The sequence below is a fragment of the Homo sapiens genome, chromosome 6 (assembly GCF_000001405.40).
Source record: "Homo sapiens chromosome 6, GRCh38.p14 Primary Assembly".
Classification (NCBI taxonomy): Eukaryota; Metazoa; Chordata; class Mammalia; order Primates; family Hominidae; genus Homo; species Homo sapiens.
This window is the reverse complement of record NC_000006.12, coordinates 148,814,394-148,841,727: the sequence shown is the minus strand read 5'-3', so window position 1 is coordinate 148,841,727 and position 27,334 is coordinate 148,814,394. Positions and strand designations below refer to the sequence as shown.

The window sequence follows — 27,334 nt, the reverse complement described above, 5'->3', positions numbered from 1 at the left end:
CTTATTTGTTCTAGGTAGACCAAAGAAAATAATTCAGAAAACTGCTTACACAAAGAAATATGACACAGCTCTTTTGCATCTTCCCTGGAAAAAGCAGCAACAATTTGCTATTTATTCAAACACATGACAGAAAAAAAAAACAAAAACAAAACAGACCCCCTTGGGCAAATTATAAAGCACAGCTAGGGAGAAAATGAAAAGTGCTTTGAAATTTTTAAATAGTAATTATCAAATAGTAATTAAACCAAAGTAGAACAGGAAACAAACCAATCTATCAACTTAGGGGATTTTCTGTCTCCTTAGTTACATGGAATAGCACTTCCCACAGATGAAACTTGAGGCAGGGTATAATTCTGGCATTAAAATAATCAATAATTCATTTTCTCCTTAAGTATTAAATTAATCATAAGAGAAGGAAATTATGTAAATACATGCAGGTATGGAAATTTGTTTAATGAATATAAATTAATTACTGATGCCATAAGAAATTTTCTATCATCATTTTTATGTATTCACTTAATAAAAGGAGATCTTTCTGCTTTTTAAAAACATTCTTCACAAGCTATAAGAAATACGTTTTATTCTATTTCAAATCTTACTAGTCTTTTTTTTTAATCTATCAAAATATCAATAAGAGTCATTGTAATTTTACAATTTTGTTTTTGTTGGGTTTTTTTTTTTTTCATTTCAAAATGTTCTTGGTCATTGGGAAGAATGCAAAGCAGAGATGGTCACGCACAAAGAAAAGTTTTCATTAATAAATACCAGAGGCTACAGCATGGTAAGGACACACACCAAGCTGTGCGACCACCACCCACCAGGGTGACCACTGAAGGGGAAGACGCAGTGAACGCAGTGGAAGACTGAGCACCCGGGTGTCCAGCTGCTGGGGCTCCACAGGTGAAGGACTCAGTAGGTGAGGGGCAGTCCCAAAATGCCAAAGAGCATTAGTTGACCTTAAGCAACACAGGTTCAAACTGGGCGGGCCCACTTATATGCAGATTTTTTTCAAAATACAGTCAGCCTTCCATATCCAAAGGTTCCATCTGCAACCAGACACGGATTGAAAATACAATATTCTTGGGGTGTGAAACTTGTGGATGCGGAGGGCTGACTTTTCGTATCCACAGGTCCCTCAGAGTCCACTGTGGGACTTAAGTTTGCTTGGATTCTGGTATCTGCAGGTGGGCCTGGAACCAATCCCCTGCAGATACCGAGACCCAACTGTACTGGCTTCCTTCTGATGCTAACCACTAGGATATGACGAATAGCTAAAGAATTCAGCTTTCAGAGCACCTATTGGCATTCTTGCACATACAAAAGAGGTGCATTCTAGCAAATGTAGCCTGAAAACTGAACGTGTAAATCAAACCCCATTTTCCCATGGACATTCCTTTTGAAACAGGGTTTGGATTCACATGGGGCTGAGGGTCTGGGAGAAACCTGGCTCCAGTGGTTCCAGCATGAGCACCAGAAGCAGCATCTCTAGCAGTGCAGCCCCAGATGCAAAGTCCAAGTTTCCATCCCAGGATCCTAGAGGTTGCCTGATCTCTGGGAACATACCTTCCTTTGGGTTCCTTCTGCAACTATTCCTTTTGTTCCTCTTGCCCTCTCAATATCATTGTACCAAACCTCTTGTATTAGATACCCTCTGTTTGCAATAGCCAACGAGTTTCTGTTTCCTGACTGGAGTCCGACTCAGACAACATTCCCTTCAATACCTAGCAAAGTGAGTTTTGCCCAAAATAGGGAAGTAGGGAGGTAGTGTGGTACTATGAAAAAAGCTCTAAATTTGGAATTAGAACTAAGTTGAAACCTCCACCTTACCATTTACTGGCCAAATGACCTTTGGCAAGTTACCCCTTTTTACCTTCTCTGTACAATGGAAGCAATACTAGCCACATACCAGGGAAATTGGCTGAAAGCTTCTAGTTCTAGTTCTCAGCCTTAACTGTACCATAGCATCATCTGGGAAACTTCTTCAAAAATACCACATTTGGGATCCTCCAAATGTTGGAGGAGAAGCTGATATCAGAGAAGCTGATAATCCATTTTTGGTGGGATCCAAGCATTGGTAGTTGCAAAATCTTCCCAAGTGACTCTGCCTCACAGTGTGATTTGAAAACCATAGGTGTAGCAGCATCAACGTCACCTCTTAGAAAGGCAGACTCTCGGGACTCACCTCAGCCCTATGAAATCATGTCAAAAGATGAAATTACAACAGATTTATTTTACAGATTGAATAAGCTTTCATTTTTGATTCTAGAATCAGGCAAAACCTCATTCTATATAAAACAAAATAGGTGTTCCAAGGAGCTGAGCAGAGAGGTTGGCTTTAGAGACAGAAAAGGGTGAAAGAAAGCAGAGACAGAAAACAAAAAAGTGAACTGGTGGTTTCAAAGTTACTTTCCTCAGAGGGTTAAAGGAGAGGGGCCTTCCTGATTATGCTGACTCAGGTTGATTGGAACCTCCTCTTGTTTAGGAAAACTGGCCTGTTTCAAAGTTCAGTTTGTATACACGGCACTTAGCACTAAGTGACTCCATTCTGGTTTGATCTATTCTGCTGCGGCCGAGTGCAAGAGGCTAATCCAAAACAATGGCCTCCCATAAACTTTGTTTAACTGAATCCACATTTTGCCAGATTCCAGGTGATTACTCTGCACATTAAAGTTTGAGGAGTGCTTGGTCTAAAATATAGTAGGTACTCAATGAACAACAGTTGAATCCGAATATTAGCCGGTTAAATAGATAATGAAATTGAATATTGGGCAGCTGCATATGGGGGCATATACCTATTCAGAACAATTCAGGGGACCTGCTGGGGGCCCCTTTATTTTGGAGCCTCGCGCTGCAGTCACACTATCCTGGATGCCTATGCCCTCACATGCAGTTCAGCAGCTTCTAACTGGTCTCCCGCCTCTACTCTTCTTCCTCTGTGATTCTTCACTCTCCACACAGCAAAGTGATCATTAAAAAAAAAAATTCTGTAGAGACAGGGGTGACAGGGATCTTATTATGTTGCCCAGGCTGGTCTCGAATTCTTGGTCTCAAGTGATCTTCTCACCTTGGGGTCCCAAAGTGCTGTGATTACAGGCTTGAGCCACCATGCCTGGCCCAAAGTGATCATTTTAAAGGAGAAGGAGAGCCTTGACACTGACAGTGACGTCTATGGACCAGCAGCAACAGCAACAGCAACAGCAACAGCATCCCAGGAAGATGTTAGAAATGCAGAATTTCAGGCCCTGCCAGGCTTCCTGAATCATGGTCTTCAGCTGAAGTCCCTAGGTGATTGGAATACACCTGTTTGGATACTCTAAAGGCTTTCTGTTATCTTAGGAGGAAACCTCACATTCCTAGCTGATCTGGACCCACTTCCTCTCTGACCTCGTGTCCTGGCACTGTCCCCACACTCACCATCACCTGCACACGCTGGCCTTCCTTCTGCTCCTTGAGTCCACCCTGCCCTTTCCAACCTGGGGCCTTAGAACTAGCTGCTCCCTCTCACCCCGCCCTCAGGCCTTCATGTGGCTGGCTCCTTCGCCCATACGGCCCCTCCTGAGAGTGGCCTGACCTGGTCACCTATTTAATGAGTCACCTTCCTTCACTCTATCCCTAGTTGCTCTCTATCATATGATACTGATTTAATCTCCTCAAGGCATTTATGAACATCTGAAAAGATCTTATTCATATGTTTACTTATTACCTTCCCCCTCCAAGAATGTAAGTTCCATAAGAAGAGGGAACTTGGCCAGGCACGGTGGCTCATGCCAGCCAAGGTGGGCACATTGCTTGAGCTCAGGAGTTCAAGACCAGCCTGAGCAACATGGCGAAACCCCGTCTCTACAAAAAATACAAAATTTAGCTGGGCATGGTGGCACATGCCTATAGTCCCAGCTACTTGGGGGACTGAGGTGGGAGGATTGCTTGAGCCCAGGGAGGTGGAGGTTGAGGCTGCAGCAAGTTGTATTTGCACCACTGCACTCCAGCCTGGGTGATAAAGTGAGACCCTGTCTCAAAAAAAGGAGAGAAAAAAAAAAAAAGAGGGACCTTGTATCTCTTGTTCTCTGCTGTACCTTAGAACCCAGAAAAGTGCTTTGTACTTGGTAGGCATTTAATAAATATTTGTTGAATACATATCCTCATATTTTTCCACTGCAATTCCCAATGCAACAATGAGTTCAATGCTAATTGTTAGAAAGAGTCTTTCCTTCCCACCCCTTGGGATTCCAAGTGAAGGAACTTCAGCTACAGGATATTCCTGGCCTGACATCTCTCCCATCTCCTTTTAGTAACCTGTCTGATAGATGAACTTTTGGAGAAAGCAAGAAAACATTTCTGGTTTTTAGAACAAACCTATCTCCTTGATTCTGATACTCTTTGCTACTAGGTTCTCTGCATGGAGTAGGCTTTGTCCCAGGAAGGGGTGAGGATATGGATTGAGGGGGATAAGTTCAATTTGGAGAAGAGTTAGGGAGTCTTTGGGATGCAAATCAAAAGCCATTTTTTTTGACATGAATTACCTGTCTTCAATGGTCCAAAATTGCTCCAAAATTCAGGAGATAACTAAAGGGGTATTATGTATTAAGCCACCTAAAATGCTAACACACATCACAGTATATATATCAGGTGTACTGATAATACCTATCAGTATACATGGGATCATTTGAGAACTATAAGTCTTCCTCAAATATCCACGGAATGATCTAGAATTCTGTTCTATGCCCTCATGAGTTATCAGCTGAGGAAAATGATCCTGATTCTTGTGGTTTTCCATTACCACTTCTAAAGAGAATTACTCATATTTTCTTGTAGTCCAGTCCCCCAAATGTAAGTGTCTTCAAAGCTTGGCTCTGTTGAGCATCTGTTTCACCTGAAAATGTCCTGCTTTCTCACCCACCTTGGGGGAAATACCTTGGCTCCCCAGGAGGTCACCTGTGTACTCCTGGACCATCCAACCCCGCCCCTGTCTGGATACTTGGTGGACCCAATGTCCATCTTTTTGCAGGGCCTCTGTGTTTCCAGTGGCATCTTAAAATAGTAACAAGTCTTAAAGAGTGGCACATTTACCCTAGGAACAATTAGAAAATGTTCATCAAGTTCAAAAATCTCTAATTTCCTTCAGAGCTAGATGTAACTTAGAGTTCTAATCCAATCCCTGTACCAAGAATCCAATGCTCAGAGAAGTTCAGTGATTGGCCCAAGGCGACTCAGCGAAAAGGTTCGTGCCTGAACGCTGGAATCAGTTCAAGATGGACCATCTCAATCATGAATTTCAATAAAGGAATTAGGTAGTTGTGTCAAACACTGCCAGATGCCAAGTAGGTCCTATGAAATTTGTGTTTGTTTGGGTTTTTGTGAGATGGAGTTAACACACGCAAATGTGAGCCAGACATAAGAAAAAATGATGAAACGCTGCCAAGTCATTACAGTACCAATAACAACTATAGCTAAGAAAAGTAACTGATGACTCAGAATAAATAATTTCCATACACATTAAATTAGCATTGGCTTTTGGCGAGAACATCTTTGAGCACACGTAGCTGCAGGGCTTAACTGAGAGTGCTGTCAAGCAGATGCTCCCCCAACCCTCCCGTGTGGGTTTGGGCTGCTTTTCCTCCTCTTCCGCAAAACACGATGAACTCTGATTGTTCAAATTAAACAAAAAATGAAACTCCCCAAAATTCTGCCTTCAGTCACCACCACCCAGACCTGTAAATCAGCACTGCTCATTTCAGTAAGTTATTGGCCAGACAACAAAAAAGGTGGTTTCCTTGAGTCCTCACTGAACATAACTGTGTGCCATCATTAGAGGAAAACACATACCCATCTTTAAATTAACCAAAGTTTCTAACATCCCTTTTTAAAAAACAGCCATAAATTTGAAAAGGAAAAATATTTTCCAAGGAAAGCTGATTGCTCGGAACTTCCTACCCCACACACTTCCGTATTTGTACACAAACCTCAATACTTAGGATTCAGAAATGAATCAACCAGGCCTCATCTTGGAAAACACTAAAGCCCCCCACAAGTCATGGAGACTGGCCAGTATTCCCGGAGTGCCAGGGATGCCTGGCTTGGTACAATCATAGTGCCCATTTTGCAACATGACAAATGACAGATTGGAGACTCAGAAAATGATGGCATTTGAGCTCTTCGAGACAAAACCACTTGAAGGATAAGTCATTAAACCTTAACAAGCCAAGACAAGAGGTGACCAGGGACTAATATTCAATACCAGGGGACCAGGGACACGTTTGATTAAGACACAGACTCTCTGAGAAAGCTTACTAGGCTACTGCCTTTCTCCCAACTGGAAAATAGACTGTTGACCACCTTCTATGTCAGTCATCCATCAGTATTCAAGGGGTACCAGTTCCAGGAACCCCACAGACACCAAAATCTAAGGATGCTCAAGTCCCTGATATTATATGGCATAGTATTTGCATATAACATACATACATCCTCCAGTATACCTTAAATAATCTCTAGATTACTTATAGTACTAAATACAATGTAAATGCTATGTATTAATAGTTATACTGTAATTTTTTAATTGTATTATTTTTATTGTTATATTATTATTTTTTATTGTGTTTTTCTGAATATTTTTGATCATTGGTTGACTGAATCCACAGACACAGAACCTGAGGATCCAGAGGGCTTAGTATATTGCATAGGGATCATAACATGTTTTATATTCCTATTTAATTCAATAAAAAGTTTTCAAGTTTCTTGGGATAAAATTTAGAGTTGGTAGCAACATATTGCCTTAAAGATTGACTATTTATTTGTATACTTTGGGCACTCCATATTAATAGGTCATGCTAAATGGCTGTTTTCTATTAGCAAACTGTGGAAGAAATTTATCTTTAAAAGTGTGGATGCCATGATAGCAGGGTCTGTATTTTTCAAATTTAAAAATCCCCCCACATAGCATAGTGCCTAGCTCATTGTATGCCCTCAGTAACTGTTTTTTGTTTGTTTGCTTTCTTGTTTTTTGAAACAGGATCTCTCTCTATTGCCCAGGCTGGAGTGCAGTGGCGCAATCTCGGTTCACCTCTTTCTCACAGGCTCAAGCAATCCTCCCACCTCGGCCTCCTGAGTAGCTGGGACTACAGGCGTGCACCACCATGCCTGGCTACTTTTTCTATTTTTTGTATGGACAGGGTTTCGTCATATTGCTCAGGCTGGTCTTGAACTCCCGAGCTCAGGCAATCTGCCCACCTTGGCCTCCCAAAGTGCTGGGATTACAAGCATGAGCAACTGTGCCCAGCCTCAGTAACTGTTTAATAAACCAAGGACTAAATGAATGAGTGGCTTCCTTATTGGAAATAATGCTGCTTTGGTAAAGAGAATGCTTCCTCAGAAATGATTTACTTTCACCTAGAAAAATCTAATGGTTACCTACTGGTATCTAAGGGTTTTCCTGTAAGATGTAACTAAATGGTAATAAATTGTTTTATTTTTAAAATGTGGTCAAGGAATTAAGATTATTTTGACATTGGATGTTATTTATCTTTGTTTAAATGTATTCACGGTTAAAATGGAATGAACCTTATAACTTTATGTGACTTTTTCTCCTGGGTATATTAGTGCTATTCTTTTGAAGTCTTTAAAATCTGTTAAACAAAGTAAAACCATGGAGACAATAAATGGAAAAAATTACATATCTAAGACAGACTCTTACCCATATTGTTTCAATAACAGCATCAATTTATGAACAAAAAACAAGACGGTGAAAAGGTCAACACAGCAACTACCTCTGTCAAAATCAACCATTTCACAGAATGCTCATATTGATAAGAAAAACACTTCATTCTTAAACTGTCACGGTTTACGCCAGCCCTTAAGACTGTGCTTAGATCTTGAGAAATGTTTTTCCCTTTAACCTTTTTGATGAAATGGGTGGTTTTAAAGGCATGTTTTTCAAAAATAATATTGAGATTCATGCATGTTGAATTTTAATCACTCTGCTTCTCTGAGCTGGAGATCTAGACAGTGAACAACTCTGTGAAGTTTATAGGTGGGCAGTTGGAAAGGTGACACTATTTCCAGCAAAACTAGAACATCTATAACCTGCTTGTCCTCCACCTAAATTTCCCTGACCACAAGGTATCCTTTTCATCTTGAACATATACTTTTTCTCCCTGGAACTTTCTGGTTCTCCTCATTTAAAGCCAAGGCTAAGTTTTCTTTCTATAGGTTCCACAGTTGGGGTTCGTTTTTTGGTTTTTGTTTTTTCAGATAGGGTCTCTCTCTTTCACCCAGGCTGGAGTGCAGTCGCACGATCTCAGGTCACTGCAAGCTCTGCCTCCGGGGCTCAAGCGATCCTCCCAACTCATTCTCCCAAGTAGCTGGGATCACAGGTACATGCCACCATGCCTGGCTAATTTTTGTATATTTTGGAGAGACAGATTTCGCCGTGTTGCCCAGGCTGGTCTCCAACTCCCGAACTCGAGCAATCCGTCCGCCCTGGCCTCACAAAGTGCTGAGATTACAGGCATGAGCCACTGCGCCTGGTCAGGTTCCACAATTTTAAAAAACATGCTTATACTATTTTTCTATCATTGCAGATAACTGTTTCATTATACCCTATGATACTGTCTTCATAGTCCTAAATGAAGCAGTGGTGAGAAGGTCATGAATGATCTGGTGCTTTTTCTCAGGAGGACAGGGGGTCAAGAATGATTCCATCAAATGGTGTTGGATAAGGGAGCTCCTATACTTTCTTTTCTTGTTATTAACGATTTGAGATGAAGGCTTTTTCTCATGCTTTTCTATGGGCTATTTGTTCTGACAGTTATGACAAAGAAAAGATAGAAATACAATACTGTCTTGGCATTGCTTGTTAATTTTAAGAAGCAAGTTGAAAAACAAATCAAAGAATATAATACTTCAGGAGTTTTGAGTCCTTACCTAAATATCAACTAAAACTCATCTGACCGAGCTCCAAATAGAAACTGACTACACTGCACCACTGGGTATCCCAACTCTAATAAGGTATTGTATCCTAAGGCTCATGCCACTGGATTTGCATTTTCTAATTCACTTTCCAATGCAAGATTACTTGGACTTCTGATGAAAATGCTCCTCCAAACAACTAAATCACCATCAGGTTTATAACCAACTCAATGTGTGATAGTCCTGACACCATCACCCCAACCTAACGCGGCACATGGTTATTTCACTCTATGGGATGCTGATCAGTTTTTGGTCTGTCTCAGCTACATCTTTAAATTACACTTGTGCTGTACTCAGATCCTAAGGGCTTCATACTAAGACATGTAAATTATATCCATAAGCAAGATGTTCAGTTGATAGTTTTTTCAAGGATTAAAAAAAATTAATATGCACACCAAAACTTGGCATCCCATTTTGGATGATTTCAATAAAGATCTCACAATATCCTCAGATACATCTCAGAGTCAGGAAGAACACATTTACGGTGTTTGGTTTAAAGTCAATTAATATTCTTTTGGGAGGCCGAGGCAGGTGGATCACCTGAGGTCAGGAATTCAAGACCAGCCTGGCCAACATGGCGAAACCCTGTCTCTACTAAAAATACAAAAATTAACTGGGCGTGGTGGTGCATGCGTGCAATCCCAGCTACTTAGGAGGTTGAGGCAGAATCGCTTGAATCCAGGCGGTGGAGGCTGCAATGAACTGAGACTGCGCCACTGCACTCCAGCCTGGGCAATAGAGAGAGATTGTCTCAAATAAATAAATAAGTAAAGTCAATTAATATTCTACCAAATGTATTTACAAGTATTAGACCCATTGTTTATCATCAGGTTGGGTAATTGAGTTTAACTGCAGTGAGTCAAAACTGAATTGGAATCCACCACTTACTAGCCCTATATATGACTTCGGGAAAGTATTTAAGCAATCTGGGTCTCAGTTCCACCCCACCTACTTTCTTTTTTTTATTTTTTTTAAGAGATAGGGCTGTACTCTGTGCAGGCTGGAATGCAGTGGCACAATCATAGCTCTCTGCAGCCTTAAACTCCTTGGCTCAAACAATCTTCTTGCCTCAGCCTGCCGAGTAGCTGGGACCACATGCATGAGCCACCGCACTCAGCTAGTTTTCCTTATTTTTAAAATAGGGGATAACAATTGTTCTCATCTCTGAGGGTTACTGTTAGGATTATATGACTTCTTATTTGTCGGGCACTTAGCACAGTGTCTTGCTTCCGATAAGCACTATATAAATGTCTGCTAAGTGAAAATAGAAAATACAATGCCTGGCACTCAGAAGGGATTCTATAAGTGATAACTAAATCTGAAGCCAATAGCAATAAAGACTTAATAAAACAAAACTAAACTATAAGGCGAATTTCCTATAATAATAAAGTAAAAAGAATACTTGTCTGTGAGTCATGAAATGACTGTCCCAGTCACAAATACACCCTGTGGCTGTGGAAAAGACACTTCCTCTCTCTGCACCTGAATTTTTTCATCTGCAAAATGAGAGAATTGTACCGCAGAAGTTACAGTAGCTTCCAGATGCTGGTATGTGGCTGCGAAACAGTCGGCGCTGGTCTAGTCTGTGAGAAAGACGAAAGCAAAGGGCACAAAGGGCAATGTGTTGATCTGCTTCCTAAAGTTATATTTAATCATTTTAAAGGAATTTCCTTCAAGATTGATTCTTCCCACCCCCCCCTTTTCTTTCTTTTTCTTTCATCTTTCTTTTAATTTTCCTTTCTTTTCAATGTAAAAATTTCTTTTCTTTCAAGCAACGGTGATGAAAGCAGAATTTTACTGTGGCAAAATACATATATAATTTACCATTTTTAAGTGGACAGTTCAGTGGCATTAAATACATTCACAATGTTGTGCAGTCATCACCACTATCCCTCTCCATAACTTTCTCATTAGCCCAAACTGAAACTCTACACATTACACAATAGCTCCCCATTTCCTCCTCCCCCCTGTCTCTGGCAACCACCATTTTATTTTCGTTTCTATGAATTTGACTACTCTAGGTACTTCAAATGAGTGGAATCATAAAACAGTGTCTTTTTGCATCTTGCTCCTTTCACTTAGCGTAATTTCTTGATGGTAGAATTTTTAAAAATGTTTTTACTTGACAGTCCCCAAGTAATGCTCTTCCTAGTTTCTAATCCAAAAAACCACTGGACTAGAAAACCTCTAAGGTCTCATCTAGCACTAAGGTTCCATAGTTCTATGATCAAGGGCAGTGGTCACATTTTCAGTGCATTGTGGCACCCAACACATTGTGGGTGAGTGCTCCCGAAAGGAAACGATGCGGCAAGACCCTGGGGCTGCTGCTTAGTCCGGTCGTCTTTGTGGGGATAGAATTGGATAGAATATGTGTTGGGTCTATCACTTCCCATATTAATTGCCATATCTCTTTTGTGCTCTAAACTAGTTATACTATAAATGTAGAAATGAAAGGATAATAGAAAATACAGTTTTTGAATGCATGCATCATGTTGCCAGACAAAACCTGGCCCACTTGCCACAAACTGGCAAGAAATTGGTGGGTGTGGTCCAGTTTCCAGCAAATTCTACAAAGCACCTCCTCATGTCTGAACTTTGAGCAATTCAGTAAGTCACTCTATTAAGGGAACTATTTTAGGGAGGTATTGGTTTCTCCAATTACCTTAAAAATCACAGATCTCAGGTTTTGCTGTTTTTCACTCACCCAGCCTCATGGACAAGAGGCTTCAGGAGTTGTAGGCTTTATGTGGCATTCATCATCCATCTTTTAAGTGTAGTGCCTGGTGGTTTTTAAATGTTAACAAAGTGATATGCAAGTCTTTTCCTGTGCTACTAACCCCAGGATGTTCTTGCACTTTAAGTCACAAACTATGAAATTACTTTTTAAAACACCTTCCAAAATAATAGTCCCTAGGTCAGACCAAAGCAAGTAGAGAAATACATAATGATGGGTTGGTAAAATTGTTTTGTGTTTTGAGAATTGAAGCTATGAGTAACTATTAGAAAGAAGAGGACTACAAAGAACAAAGTATTAAAACAAGTGTTTCTGAATATATAAAAGTGAACCCCCAACCATTCCAAACAAACCGAGGGTAAAAATAAGGAGAACACTCGTCTGTGAGTCATGAAACCAGGAGAACACAGTGATCACAGGGAGAGGCTGGTGCAGAGTCCAGCAGAGAAATGATGGCCTCAAAAGGGCAAGTAGAGATGGTGAGAGTGGGGTGGATTTGAGCCGGATTTTGGAAGTAGACTGAACAGCACAGAGAACACTTAATTCTTGTGTCTGGAATCTCATACAATATATAATTAGCCCATGTGCTCTGCCCGCTTCACAATGATGCTCACACATGGCTGAAGATTTCTGCATTTTCCAGATAGGGAAGTTGGGCCTAGAGAGGGTCATTAGTGCAGAGGGTGCCTGCTCACATGGCTGTGTGGGATGAGCAAGGCCAAAGCCATATGCATGGTTACAGCGGACCCAGGTGCAGAGGTGCACGCCCATATAAAGACGTACATTAAGACCTCTTTCCTCTAGCAATGTGAAACATGGTTAATCTTAAACGTCACTAAAATCCATCCATCCATCCATCCATCCATCCATCCATCCATCCATCCATCCATCCCAGGGCTTAACTTGAAATGTCCACTTTGTCCCTGGGTACCCTCAGCTAGATCTGGAGCACATCTCTTCTTAAATGAATTTTCCACTTCTTACTCCAAGGAATTGGTGCCATTGTGTTTCTGGTAGGTTATGTATATTTTGAGCAATTCCTGCTTGTTCCCTCCCAAATAAATAGCATGTGCTTTCTAATTTTTAAGGAAGAGGCAAATCTGTTTTCAGCTGACTTATTCAAATGGAACACTAATGAAAAGTTAACCGCAATGTACTATTGGTTATAAAATGTTACTGTAACATTAAATTGTTTCTGATGTTGATCTGATTAATTTAATGATTCATTAAGACTTGAAAAGTGTCTGATACTTAGTAGGTGGTCAGTAATGATTACTTAATGAATACTTTTGCTCCAAAGCTTAATAATAATAATAAACAATCATCATCATCATTGCAAATACTTTTATTTGCTCCAAGTGTTTTATGTGCATAAATTCATTTAGTCCTCTCTCCATTTTACAGGTGAGAAAAGTGAAACCAAGTGGTGCCAAGTAACCTGCCAAGGACATAAATCTAGAAAGTGAGAGCCAAGAATTTTAACCCAGGCAATCTGGTTCCAGAGTCTGTGCTCTTAATAGCACATTATCTGCTTGTCTTAAGTGAATGAAACATAGGTTTTTAAAACCTAAGGAGCATACGATAATTTAAATATTTTCCCAAAATATTATACTGCTATAACTAGCTCTGCATGCTTAATTTTTCCAGTAATATAACGGCATTATTAACTTATGATTTTGTTCTGTCTGTGCTCTTTCTACACATAATTCTTGACCTCAAGTCAGGCATTAAAATAAAAACCAGTGAAAGAGCACAATTATAGTGTTCTTTGTAAATAAATAAATAAATAAATAAATAAATAATATAGACTAACAAAGTACTTAGGAGCATCCACTATCAGACCTAAGTTGAACAAATACGTAATTTGACAGACGTCATATATCCTGACAGATATATTTGACAAATATATATATTTGACAGAAGTCAACATATTTGACTTCTGTCAAATTACGTATAATTCAGAAGGGATTAAGATTCAGAAAGTGAATGGTTCAAATTCATTCTTAAACATATGGCAACATTTGACAACCTCTATGAAAAAGCTTTTTTTCTCCAAAAAGAACAAATGAAAATAGATTGTTATAGGAAGAATTTCTTACTCTCCTTAATCCAATCACTTCAAAAAGTCATAAAAACAAAAACACACTTTTAAAAATACATGCTTGAGGGTAAAAATTCTCTACCATCTGTTTTAGTAAACCGCATATGTTCATCTAAATATCATGTCAAGTTTTTCTTTTAATGAATACAGAGTACAATCTAATTCACAATTAGTGTTTTTGTTGTTGGTTTTTTTTTTTTTTTTTTACAAACTAGAATAATTTCAAAGTTAAGAAAATGGCAAGCCAGGATCATGACTAATATTCTCACTGAATCCTCTCTTCGGGAGTTTAGACGCTTTTTTTTTTTCCTTTTTTGAGACAGAATCTTGCTCTGTTGTCCGAGCTGGAGTGCAGTGGTGTGATCTCAGCTCATTGCAATCTCCACCTCCTGGATTCAAGCAATTCTCCTGCCTCAGCCTCCTGAGTTGGGATTACAGGCATGCGCCACCATGCCTGGCTAATCTTTGTATTTTTAGTAGAGACAAGGTTTCACTATGATGTCCAGCTAGTCTCAAAGTCCTGACCTCAAGTGAGGCCATCTCTGCCTCCCAAAGTGCTGGGATTACAGGTGTGAACCACCGCGGCCGGCCCCAGACTCTTCTTTTTTCAATGAAAGGCTACAGACTCCTCTGTTAGAAGAACAAATCTCACGTAATTTTAAAACTTCAGAATCTAATTCCACTCTAAAAAGTAGAATTAAATTAGCAAATCTATTCTGATGATAATTGGAACTGTCCAAAAGTCCATTTGCCAGCGTACCCCAAAGTGAGTCATACTTTATGTCATACATAAACCACATGCACTATAGAACAACAAGCATCTTCTGCATTTCAGGCGGTATCAACAATGCCCTTATTTATTGGTAGGTAGAATAATGGCCCTCAATGATGTTTATGGCCTAACTCCCAGAACCTGTGAATGTATTACCTTGCATGGCAAAAGAGACTTCAGGAGATTATCCTGGATTATCTAGGTGGGCCCGATGTAATCACAGAGAGGCAGAACAGAAAGTCAGGGACTGAGCTGTGATGATGGGAGCAGGGTCAGTAAGATGCAACATGAGAGGCACTGAACCTGACTTTGTTGGCTTTGAAGATGGTATTAGGGGGCATGAGCCAAGGAATGCAGGCAGCCCTTTAGAAGCTGAAAAGGCAAGGAAACAGATTCTGCCCTAGAACTTCCAGAAAGGAAAGCAGCCCTCCTGGCCCCTTGATTTTAGCCCATGGTATGTGGATTGTTTTAAGCCACTTAATTTGTGACAATTTGTTACAGCAGCATAGAAAACTAATACAGGTACATAAAGTTGAAAGTTAGACCATGCCAATGATTGCCCAGAAAATTGAAATGGCTCATGAAGTTTAGGTATCTAGGAAGAATAGTGTTCAAAGAAGAACAAAACTGTGAACAATTCAATATAAAAAGTACATGTCATTTTTGTATAATGACAATCAAGTGAATATTCTATAACCTATGTAGTTAATTCATTTAAAAAAAAAAACATGATGAATAAAAACAGGAGCCTGGGCACCATGGCTCATGCCTGTGATCCCAGCACTTTGGGAGGCCGAGGCAGGTGGATCACCTGAGGTCAGGAGTTCAAGACCAGCCTGGCCAACATGGCGAAACCCCATCTCTACTAAAAGTACAAAAATTAGCCCGGCATGGTGGCACATGCCTGTAGTACCAGCTACTTGGGAGGCTGAGGCAGAAGAATGGCTTGAACCTGGGAGGCGGAGGCTGCAGTGGGTGGAGATTGCACCACTGACTCCAGCCTGGGTGACAGAGTGCAAGGCTCCATTTCAAAACAAAACAAAACAGGATGCTCTTAGACAGAACTCATTTATCTATCCACTGTCAAATTCATGCTCTTGTCTCTGATTTCCAGGTCCCAATCTTGACTCATTCCATGATATCTTGCAGGACTAGCAGCTCTCAGTGTCTCTTTGTGACACCTCTTAATAGCTCTATCTGCCCCCTCCTCAACCCTATTCCTGCAACACCCCTACCTACAACTCTGCTTCTCATAATTCAAATGAGGGAGGTATTTCCCCCTTGTAGAAATTCACACTGAGGCCAACCTTCCCTGTATTTCCTCTTTTCCCAGATGCCACATTATTCTAGAGCCTTCTCCTCCCCCCACCATGGGAAAACATGGAGAAGCTGGTCACTCTCTTCTGCATCTATTAGGCTGAGAACTCTTCCTTTGGGCATAAAGGCAGCTGAGTCAGCTTCTGTTGAGCTCATGGCAATGTTACGCCAATATCTTGCTCTCTTGAGATTTGTATACCAGCAGATCCGTGGAAAGATGGATGGTCCCATAATGCATTACCAGAACTTCTTCCTGGGCAATTTCAGATAGCTTGTGAACTCCAGGAGGTGCTTGAGACTCAGGAAAGTACAGACAATAAGCCATAAAGTATTTGCCAGCTATGCCAAGGATTAGACTTCTCTTTAAGTGCCTACATGGCTCAAGTCCTAGGCTTAAAAATGTTTTGTATCTAACTTCAATGCTTTTTTGGGTAAGTAGGCACCCACTGTTTAATTAACAATGTGCTCCTCCAAAGGGGATGCACAAAGGACCTGTGTTCCTATCTTTGCCACTACTGAAGCCAAACAAGCAATTTAAATACAGCCTGCCCAGCAAAATAACTTCAGCCTCCAACCGAAATAACAGAATGTGCTGGCCTATCATCAGGGGACATATTAGTCAGACTGCCAACCCACATCCCTCCCACTTTTGGTGTCCACTGCCTGTCTCTCAAGTCTAGAAAGGGGATGTGTCACCCCACCTCTCACCCCCATACCATGCCACAGGTAACCATGATTCAAGTGACCCAGGAAACTCTATTGACCAGATTCTGTACTTAAGAAAATGTGGCACATATACACCATGGAATACTATGCAGCCATAAAAAATGATGAGTTCATGTCCTTTGTAGGGACATGGATGAAATTGGAAACCATCATTCTCAGTAAACTATCGCAAGAACAAAAAACCAAACACCGCATATTCTCACTCATAGGTGGGAATTGAACAATGAGATCACATGGACACAGGAAGGGGAAAATCACACTCTGGGGACTGTGGTGGGGTCGGGGGAGGGGGGAGGGATAGCATTGGGAGATATACCTAATGCTAGATGACACGTTAGTGGGTGCAGCGCACCAGCATGGCACATGTATACATATGTAACTAACCTGCACAATGTGCACATGTACCCTAAAACTTAGAGTATAATAAAAAAAAAAAAAAAAAGAAAGAAAATACCATCTACCCCCATTGAATTTGACTCAGCGGTAGTGAAAATAAATAATGAGTAAACCTCCTAGCAAAAACCATCTCCCAGTAGCTCACACCTCTTCAATGTATCAGTGATCTCTACTGATGATGGTGATTGGATGTGTCAGAATGGTATCCACCCCTCCCAGAGGTGGATCTCCAAAGCTCTCCAATAGCAGCAAGTTTCTTATACTGCACAGTCTAAGTCTTCAAAGAAGACTCTTGTTTTGCTGACCAAGTACTGTACATTGGCTCTGAGCTTGTTGAGCAGGAGGCCAAGGAAATGTCTCTTACTGTACCTATACTGCACAATCACCTAGTGACTGGGACATAGATCTTGGCCTGAATCATCTTCTTTTCAAAGCTAGGTAACACCCAGGGTTATCCAACACATTCCTGTGATTCAACCCTCAACACCTAACTTCTCCAGACCATCTGAGCATGCTTCTTCAACATAACTTGAACTTAGGCGTCCAGAAATATGAGTTGAAGTTCATGAAGCTAAATACACTCAGATGCTCCTAACAAGCCTAATAGTTGAGTTGCAGTGGAAAAATTCTCAGAACATTAACTATATCTTCAAATTTTCCTGCTATTATTAGTCCTCCACTCTCATTTCCTTCCTCTATTTCAGCTTTTTCTGTTATCTCCTTGTATCAGTCAAAGCCGTGCTCAGATTCCTAAATCCTTTCTTTAAACCTAACATGGATTCCGTTTTTTGATTATTTATAAGTGACACGAAAATTGCTTGCAGACAAATAGTGGAAGACTAGAAGTCTACCTGGAGGAGGAATAGCATCGAACATCCTGCATCATCAACTGAAGGTGATTTTTCTCCTTTCATTCATTCTGCATCTAAAATTCTATAAAAATCTCTTCGCAGTCTACAGAACACAAGATAAAATCCACCAGAGAGCAATGTTAACTGATACCCTAGACACGGGGGCTAATCTTTGTAACACATGAGGTACAGTTTAAGAAAGCTATTATTTCCTACCCTTCCAAATTAAGGTACACTGCTACCAATACTAATATCACATTTCTTTTTCTGTGCTATCAACTTAATGATGAAAAGGAAATGTGAGTAACAGGATAAGGCAGCACCAGTAGGTAATAGATTAAGAAAGAAAATATAATTCTCCTCTAAATTATGCTTATCACAAAAATGTACAGTTCCTCTGTGGCTTAAAACACAGGAGGGCAACTGTTCTCTGGAGGCAATCAGATTACTATTGATTTCAAGAAGATCTGATGTTAGCTGGAGATATAAAAGGCATTCTTAGAGCAAAGGGCCACAGATTAATTTATAGGTAACTATTTTCCCAAGGGTAACTTTTATAATGTCAGTGATAAACTTCCTTTCTTTCTAGTTTGCTTTATTTAGATAAAAATCTTTCTAAATCATTCTTTCAGATTTTGTCATTAACCTTTCTGTAGTCTGAAAAAGCATGTAGTTATGCAAGAAAAGCACTCCAAAAATCAACACTTCATGTGATATTTTACATTTTTCAACTAAAAGAGTAGTCTCTGCCAAGTCCCTCTTCTAAAACTAAAGGAAATTATCTCTACCTCTCTGGTGATGTAGACAGATGTGGGGAAACACACCACTCTCAGTGTGTGTCCACATGTGCACATATACCCACTTACCCACAAATACAAACACACCCAAGTCATTTAAGAGCCAGGTAAGTAAGAGCTGTAAATACATTACATCAGCTCTATTAGCACTTTTTACTGGTTAGGTTATTTAATTTATTAATAAAAACAATTAAAATCTTATTTATTCTTTACACACACACAGAAATGTTTGCACTATCCATAATATATATAGTTTGCCTTTTCAAGTTCTTCCACTAAGATTTTTGCTTTCAATGCAAAAGTAACGTTTTATCCTTATTAACTATGCTTCACATTTGAGATCACAAACCCCCTCCCAAAATAAGGGAAATCAGGTTTGTTTGTATCATTGAAGAAATGGCAAATTACTCATATTCCCCGACAGAGATATTTCATACCTCATGGCTACTGAGGCTGTAGAAGTCAAAAACCTGCCTTGAGACAATGCATGGGGCTTGGTTTTACAGACTATGCAGAATACTATATTCTCTCTCTCTCATTTCTCTTTCTATACATTCAGTCTCTTTCTCTCCTTACTTCAGTTTCATCTATCTTGCCAATTAAGAATTATCACGTCTTTTTGGGGTCAGGGCCAGTGGATCAGAGCAAAGGAGGCAGCCCATAAGTGTGAGAATTGGGTGTACACAGAGGCTTGAGCAAAAATGTAAGTATATTGACAACAACATAGGTCAGTTTCTTCTCAAAGAGGGAGTTATAAATATGGAAAGAGGAAAGAGTAGAACAAACCTAGAGTGTTAGATTAGGATTGGAATACCAATGTAAGCATAAGATTTTTCAAGTATAGACAGACATCTAGAAATTGATATAGACGTGTGTGTGCACGTGTATACACTCAAATATTTTTCTATCTCTGTTCCCTAGAAGCAGCAACCTTCCAGTAGCAATGTGCAAACACAGCACCCAGATCTTGGTTAATAAACACTATTCTCTACTAAAAAAAACCAGACAGCCTTAAAGAAATAGCTGATTATAGTGCAGGGAACATAAAAGGTGAGTCTGAAACATCTTGTTTTATTATAAAGTAAGGGAACCGCTCAAAGGATGACGGGGACATGTAGAAAGAACACAAGACACAAGTTGATGAGATTCCCACTGGCCAAATCTGGGAAAACTTGAGCATCAAAATAAATGCTGATAGTAATGGAATATAGACCATTGAATCAAGTAAGATGCCATGAATCTGTACTGATAAAGATAAATGAATGAATAATAAGTAAACGGGGGAGAAAAACTTCTACTTCACAGTGGAATACCAACTTATAAATCTACAAAGAATGAGAAGGTAGAAAATCACCATTTGGCACCAATTTGGTAATAATGGCATCCATTTGGTAATAATTGATTCTGACGAGAATCATCAACGGATGCTAAAATGGGTAGATAAAATTCTAATGAAGAACAGAATATTTACATAGTTTTTAGTGGCTCCTTATAAAATATTTATTAACTACCTGTTAGTTACTAAGCACCAAATACTTGTTACTTGAATTTATCATGTAGAAACTTGGCAGATGCCATTTTATTGAAGTGATAAAAGTTAATACCACCAGTGATAAGACAAGTCAGCCTCACGTACTTGCTAACATGATGCACTGAGAACTCAGCCTCCCTTCTGCACCATTTATTTCTACAAAAAAGACAGCATAATTTGCATCTAACTATGAGGAAACATCCAACACTACCAAATTAAGGGACAAGGTAATTCTACAACGTTATTGGATTAGACTTAAAAAAAAAAATACAGCCAGGTGCGGTGGCTCATGCCTGTAATCCCAGCACTTTGGGAGGCTGAGGCAGGTGGATCACCTGAGGTCAGGAGTTGGAGACCAGCCTATCCAACATGGCAAAACCCCGACTCTACTGAAAATACACAAAATTAGCTGGGCGTGGTAGTGGGCTCCTGTAATCCCAGCTACTTGGGAGGCTGAGGCAGGAGAATTGCTTGAACCTGGGAGGTGGAGGTTGCAGTGAGCCGAGATCATGCCACTGCACTCCAGCCTGGGTGACAGAGTAAGACTCCGTCTCAAAAAAAAAAAAAAAAAAAGGAATTAAAAAAAAATACTACATGACAATTACATGTAATACATGATCCTGGATCAGATTGTAGATCTATCTATACAAGACATTATTGAGATACTCAATGATTTTTTTTTTTTTTTTGAGATGGAGTCTCGCTCTGTTGCCCAGGCTGGAGTGCAGTGGTGCGATCTCAGCTCACTGCAAGCTCCACCTCCCAGGTTCACGCCATTCTCCTGCCTCAGCCTCCTGAGTAGCTGGGATTACAGGCGGCCACCACCACACCTGGCTAATTTTTTTTTGTATTTTTAGTAGAGACGGGGTTTCATCGTGTTAGCCAGGATGGTCTTGATCTCCTGACCTCGTGATCCGCCTGCCTCGGCCTCCCAAAGTGCTGGGATCACAGGCATGAGCCACCGTGCCCGGCCTGGGATAATCAGTGAATTTTTAATGGGGTTTATGCATTCAATAGTAGAGTTATATCGAGGTTAATATCCTGATTTTGATGGTTGTTCTGTGGTTAGGTAAAAGAGAATTCTGAATCTTTTAGAAAACAGATTTTTAGAGGGAGAACAAGTTTGAGAGGTAAATGAGGCACTGTGTCAACAACCAACTTTCATATAGTTCAGAAAATTAAATAATAATGATATACAGAAAGAGAATGTGTATATGCACACACACACGTGTCTTGAGAGAGAGAAAACAAGTATGATTACCTTGAGTTTTGTGGCATCTGAGTGAGGGCATATGGGAATTTTTTGTTATATTCTTGCAATTTTTCCATAAGTTTGTAATTATTTCTGAATAAGTATATTTAAAGGAAAAAGATTAGAGGATTTTAGTATGTCGATATCCTCAAACGGTTGTCACTAAGCACCTACTGCATGCCAGGCTCTGCAACACAAAGGAGCCAGACCTGACCTTTAGCTACCTAGAGGAACAGGGGAACACAGATAATACGATGTGAACAACCTGAAACTAAGCTGGCACCCGGAGAGAGAGGCCCCCATGGGTACAGATGGGCCTTCGGAGCATTCTAGAAAGAAATAGCAGCTCGTGGAAAAAGCTGAAGGGTATAAACCCCCAGAAGAGTTAGGAAATCAGAAGCAGAGTTTCATGGAAGGAGGTGTAGATAATAAGGCTACTCTTAACCAGAACTTCCAATGGAAGATGCTATTTTTTTCTTTTTCATACACAAAAAGATTCCAGGCAGGCTACATTATGTTTGGTACAATGAAAGAAGAGAGTGTTACTGATCTTGATGGTCATACTCATTATGTGCTAACATAAGTTATTAGTGATACATACACAAAATAATGCTTTTTAACAGCCACAACATATTGACTTTTAAAAACAATAGCAAAAAATACAACTCCAGTTCTTAACTTGTTTAAGAGCATAAAATACGTAATTATCCACCTGGATACCCTTTCATCAGAAAAGTTACAAAGTCTGTATAAGTTGTCAGTAGGTGAATAAGAAAAAGTAACGTAAGAGATTCCTAATATCTTTCTATCTCTAAGTCAATAGATTTTCCAGTCCGATTCGAGTCACAGTCGTGATTACTTTTGCAAATGTAAGAAGTATTAGGTAACAGGGCTTAGTTTTCTGACCCCAGGGTAACCACACAGTGAACATTATGTCAAATCGTATTTTGTCCTACTGAGTAATGAGAAAGCATAAATCAAGAACCCACAGTGGTATTTTTACAAGTTTTGTTTTTGTTTTTTTTTAACATTTAAACCATACTTGCTTTGCATTTCATTATTATCTCTGCTAACAGGATCAGTAATAGAATTCAGACTATTTTTCAGGCTGAAAAGCAACCTAAATTGAAATCTATTACTTTCTTCTGCAAATCTGCCCTACCTTTGTGATGCAAAGTTCGCTCACAGAGCCCAGCGGGGTTTTGCTTCAAATGCAGCCTCTCCATGAAAGTGAAAATTCAATGAGTATTAACCCTTCATTTCTCAGGTCTGAACTCATTTTTTTCCCCAAAGAGTGGTCTTACATTACATAAGAACCCAGATTTTGATTATCCCCAGACAGAAAACCAGGCCTGAATACCTTAGCAGTTGGGCACTGGAAAGCAGGAAGAGAGGAGCAAGACCACTTTCTCCTTTCTCATGTCTCCCTCTCTTTCAAGATAATCCTCTGTGTATGAAGTTCAGACACAAAAACACAGGTATGAATGTTCACAAGTATACAATTTGAGTGGACTCAAATGATGTTAATTTATCATCTCAATCACATCCAATGAACAACATAATCCTGTCCTCAAATAACTTAAAATTGCCTCAAATAGGCATTTTTCTTAATATTTGGCAAAGACTCTTTGAACTTGGCTACCAGCCTAAAATTTCCTTACCATCATAGAATTTGCCCCAGGGTTAAAAGCCAGCCACCCAGGTTTGAAACATTTACGTCTGAACCTGCAATTTGTTGGCCACCCACACTGGCTCATTAAAATGTTGGAACCAAATTTGCTTTGCCAGCTTAATTATCAAAGCCAAGAAATCCATTTCCCACCAACTGAATTAGGGACAGAGTTCTCTCTCAATGGGAAAATGAAGACCTGTGTTTTACCCCCTTCTCTAGGTTACTTAATTGCACCTGTCTACTTCCAATGAAAAGTGATATTAGAACAAGTCGTGTGTACACATCGAGGGTCCAATCTAGCACGAGGCCAGGCCAGGTGTCTCCTTCACCCCAAGTCACACTTTGGCAAATAAAATGAAATCATTTATTTCAGTGGCCTAAGACACATCGTCGACTGCAAGATGTATGCCACTTCACTTCAATCTTGTGTTTTGAACGTGCTCCATTCTAGCTCATTTTATCATATGTGGCTATTGGAGACAGACTTCCGACAGACTAGCAAAGTATCAAAGTCTCCTGGTGAAGGTCTTATTTGTTCTAAGGGGAGTAAATGTAACACATCAGGTAAATGTTCATCCTTTAGCAGGTGGTTGGCAAACTTTCTGTAAAGGGTCAGATAGTAAATATTTTAGGTTTTGCGGTCTCTTTTGCAATCACTCAACTCTGTCATTGTAGTGTGACAGCAGCCACAGACTATACTGTAAATTACAAATAAAATCCTAAGGTCCCCCATCTGTCTGAATGAACTTCCTCTTCAACCAGGGCACTCTTAAAATTTAACCTGAGACTGGTTCAGGCCGTGATGGAAGTAGGACATGCCTCATGATACTTCTCCAGCATTCATCTCAACACAGACCTTAGGTCTCATAAGAAACACTTTACAACCTATTATCTCTGAAGCGTACTACCTGAAGGCTTCCTCTGCAAATAAGAACTCTGGTCTTCATAATCCTTTATCTTAACCCAGACATTTCCTTTCTATTGATCCCAGGTCTTTAGATAAACTCAACCAATTGTCAACAGAAAATGTAAATCTACCTATAGCCTGGAAGCTCCCCCACCCCTTCCAGTTGTCCTGACTTTCTGAACCCAACCAATGTATTTCTTAATGTACCTGATTTCAATCTCATGTCTCCCTAAATGTATAAAACCAAGCTGCACCCCGACCACCTTGGGCACGTGTTCTCAGGACATCCTGTGGGCTGTGTCATGGGCCATGGTCACTCATATTTGGCTCAGAATAAATCTCTTCAAATATTTTACAGAGTTTGACTCTTTTCATCAACAATACCTAAGCAAATGTGCATGGCTGCGTTCCAATAAAGCAGTATTTACAAAAATAAAAGAAGGGCTAGATTTGGCCCACAGCCAAAGGTTTGCTGACCCCAGCTTTAGTATTTCTTGGCTTTGCTTTCTAGTGAAAGTTAGCCTTTATTTAGCCAAACCAAAACCAAAAATAAACAAACAAACAGAAACACTGGAAAGGGGTTTCTGAAAGAGTAGGCCACGTGCCACCTGCACCAAAATCTCCTAGCATACTTCAAAACTATTCCTATCTCTGGACTCCAATCCCAATTTACTCAATCTTGATAACCAGGAGTGGGGCCCGGGAATCTGGATGTTTACAGCTTTCCCTGTTAACTCTTACAGTGCCAAATTTAAGACCTTAAGGGCCATGACTTCAAGGGAAGATAGGACTGCATCTGTTGGGGGTAATGGTTTGTGGCAACTCTATTATCCAAATAGAAAGCTCAAAAGAGAGATATATTCATTCCAGGGACCATTTGTTACTCCACAAATGAGTGTAACATTCAGCTGTTTGTTGAAAAAAAATTTTAAATACAAAAAAAGGAAATAAATGTTCCATATCCTATTCTCTGTTTCTCCGATATCATAGCCATTTAAACTCAGCTTTGGTTTTCTTATATGTAAGTAAGTGGATATAAACCTTAATTGCTTAATACTTTACAACTCACTCCTCACAAGTCCATGCACATATACTTGAGGGCATGACTCTTTTGTTGGGTTTTGGTTTCTCAGAAAACTTTTCTTTTAATAGGAACCAGCTATTTACTATGTTGTATAGAATTCTATTAACTTCTTTTACACATTAGGCTTTGTAGAAATGCCCTCATCAGGGGTCTAAAGATAGTTGCTTTTTATCCTGTCTCTCCTTTCAGTAACATGCTCAATTTGGAATTTAATTATTCTTCCCCAAACTGAGACACACTTCTCAAGTGGGTGCAAGGGTTCCCCTCTTTGCATAATCCACTTGTCTCTCTGGGTGTCTAGTCATATTTCTCCTGAAATGATCATGTTGATATCAGCTGTCATTCATCCTCCTCCTCATGGTGACCATGTGGCTGCAATTCACTGCTTGAGACCAATCAGGGGACTGTGGTGCATTACAAAACATTGGTTTGCTTTTCTTGACATCTGAGAATTTTAACTCAAGTGTGCAAATCCCAGTGAAAACAACACAGTGTGTAATTTCAAGTGCTCTATCTACACCCCAGCTGGCCCATCCTGAGGCACCCAACAATCCCGTGTTGCAGAATGTGGGTGCCGTGTAGGTCACAGCCAATCTCCCTTAAAGAGTTTATGCTTTGGCATGAAACACATCAGGTCTGTAGCTCATAAGCAATGAAATGTCCCAGACAGGAAGATAAGAAAAAAGGTGGGAAGCTGAGTATAATGAAAAGAAAAGCAGACTCAGGACTCACAGCCTGTCTCTAACCACAAAGCCTAGGATAATCTGATTAGCAATAAAATTCTCCCATTCTACAATTTCAGTTCATATAATCAACTATTTAAATCTGAAGACAGGAGTTCACACAGAATAGGAAAAACATGAGAAACACTGATAAAAATAATGTATCCAAACCCGAACTCATTTTCTCCTGACCAAGACCACTATTTGTTCTGAACTCTTTTTTTGTTTTTGTTTTTCTTTCTGGTCAAGACAATTTTCATATTTAATGGCAATGATATTTTTAAGTATGTAATATACACATTAAAATTAAAGGGTGATTTTTCCATGTGGTATGTATTTTTTCAGTTAACAAATATTTATTGAGGATCTACATGTGCTAGCTACATCTACACTGGGACCGTATGGTTAAAAAAAAGCAGGGGAGTGGGGCAGAGGCTTGGCTTCCTGCCCTCTTGGGGTTCACTTGTCACCTCCACCCCAAGCTTCAATTCCCCAGGCCTTATTCCAACACTGTCTTCTTTCAATATTTTATTTATTCAGCTCAATATTCAAAAGGCATAGAAGGCTGTACAGTGAACAGCATCCCTTCCATGTGTGTCCTCCAACTCCTCAGTTTCCTCCCTAGAGGCAACTAATACTATTAGCTTCTTATCTAGCCTTCCAGACAAATGTTATACTATTTAAGCAAACAAGCATATTCTCCCTCTTTCCTTTTCTTTAAAGACAATCAATATTCATGTATATGCTCTACTTTGTACCTTGCTTTTTACAAGTAAGTGTTGGAGTTCATTCCATATTGGTGCATCTTGTTTATAGCTGCATAGTATTCCATTGTGTGGATATACCACGGTTTTTTTAATAAGTGTCTTTAATGCAGATTTATGTTGCTTTCAATCTTTTATTATTACAAACTATTAACGTATATCCTATCATTCACATATGCACACACATCCTAATATACAAAGCCATGCTATCATCATTAATGGAGTAAGTTGGCTTAGTGTATTTCTTGCACATATAGGGGGTCTCCAACCCATAAGCAGAAACAACAGGGGCTGACCCTGACCCCTCTATACCAGTGAAGCCCCCATCACCCTGAAGAGATATGTTAAAGAGAATTCACTGCCATTCAGATCCTGTTGTGCTCTGTATCCTGGAAAGTTTCCTTGTGAGAAAGGAAAAGCAAAGAATCCAGTAGAGATTCTGGAAATCTGTAAATAATCATCGTGCTTTTCTGAGGTCTACAAACAACCACAGTGAACCGCATCAACCCCTAGTACAGCCAGAAGCTGACTGGGTCAGCTGCAGGGTTAAGAGCTTACAGAGCCATAACCCTGATGTCACACACAGAGTTCAGGCATCGGGTGTCATAAATCTGCAAGAATTTCTTGCTCAAAGGCCCTCTTGGCATGATTTTTTTTTTAATGCAGTTGAATGTTCAGAGTTTTGCTTCATCTCTCCATGCAGCTGCAAACTCTACTGGCTCACATGCCCCTACAAGAAGGCATAAC

The 27,334-nt window shown here is 39.9% G+C and overlaps 1 protein-coding gene across 7 annotated transcripts in view, besides 1 other annotated feature; it reads right to left on the bottom strand.

Annotated features, from left to right (window-relative positions):
- The window catches only part of UST (uronyl 2-sulfotransferase), a 329,961-nt gene that overhangs the window by 235,263 nt on the left and 67,364 nt on the right, over positions 1–27,334 (bottom strand). The window lies entirely within an intron of this gene.
- Positions 22,043–22,929: an enhancer, noted in NCBI's record as "OCT4-NANOG hESC enhancer chr6:149139935-149140821 (GRCh37/hg19 assembly coordinates)". NCBI's record gives its function as "activates a minimal SCP1, AML or CMV promoter by ChIP-STARR-seq in primed H9 embryonic stem cells {active_cell/tissue: H9 hESC(primed)}" and the evidence as "EXISTENCE:reporter gene assay evidence [ECO:0000049][PMID:30033119]".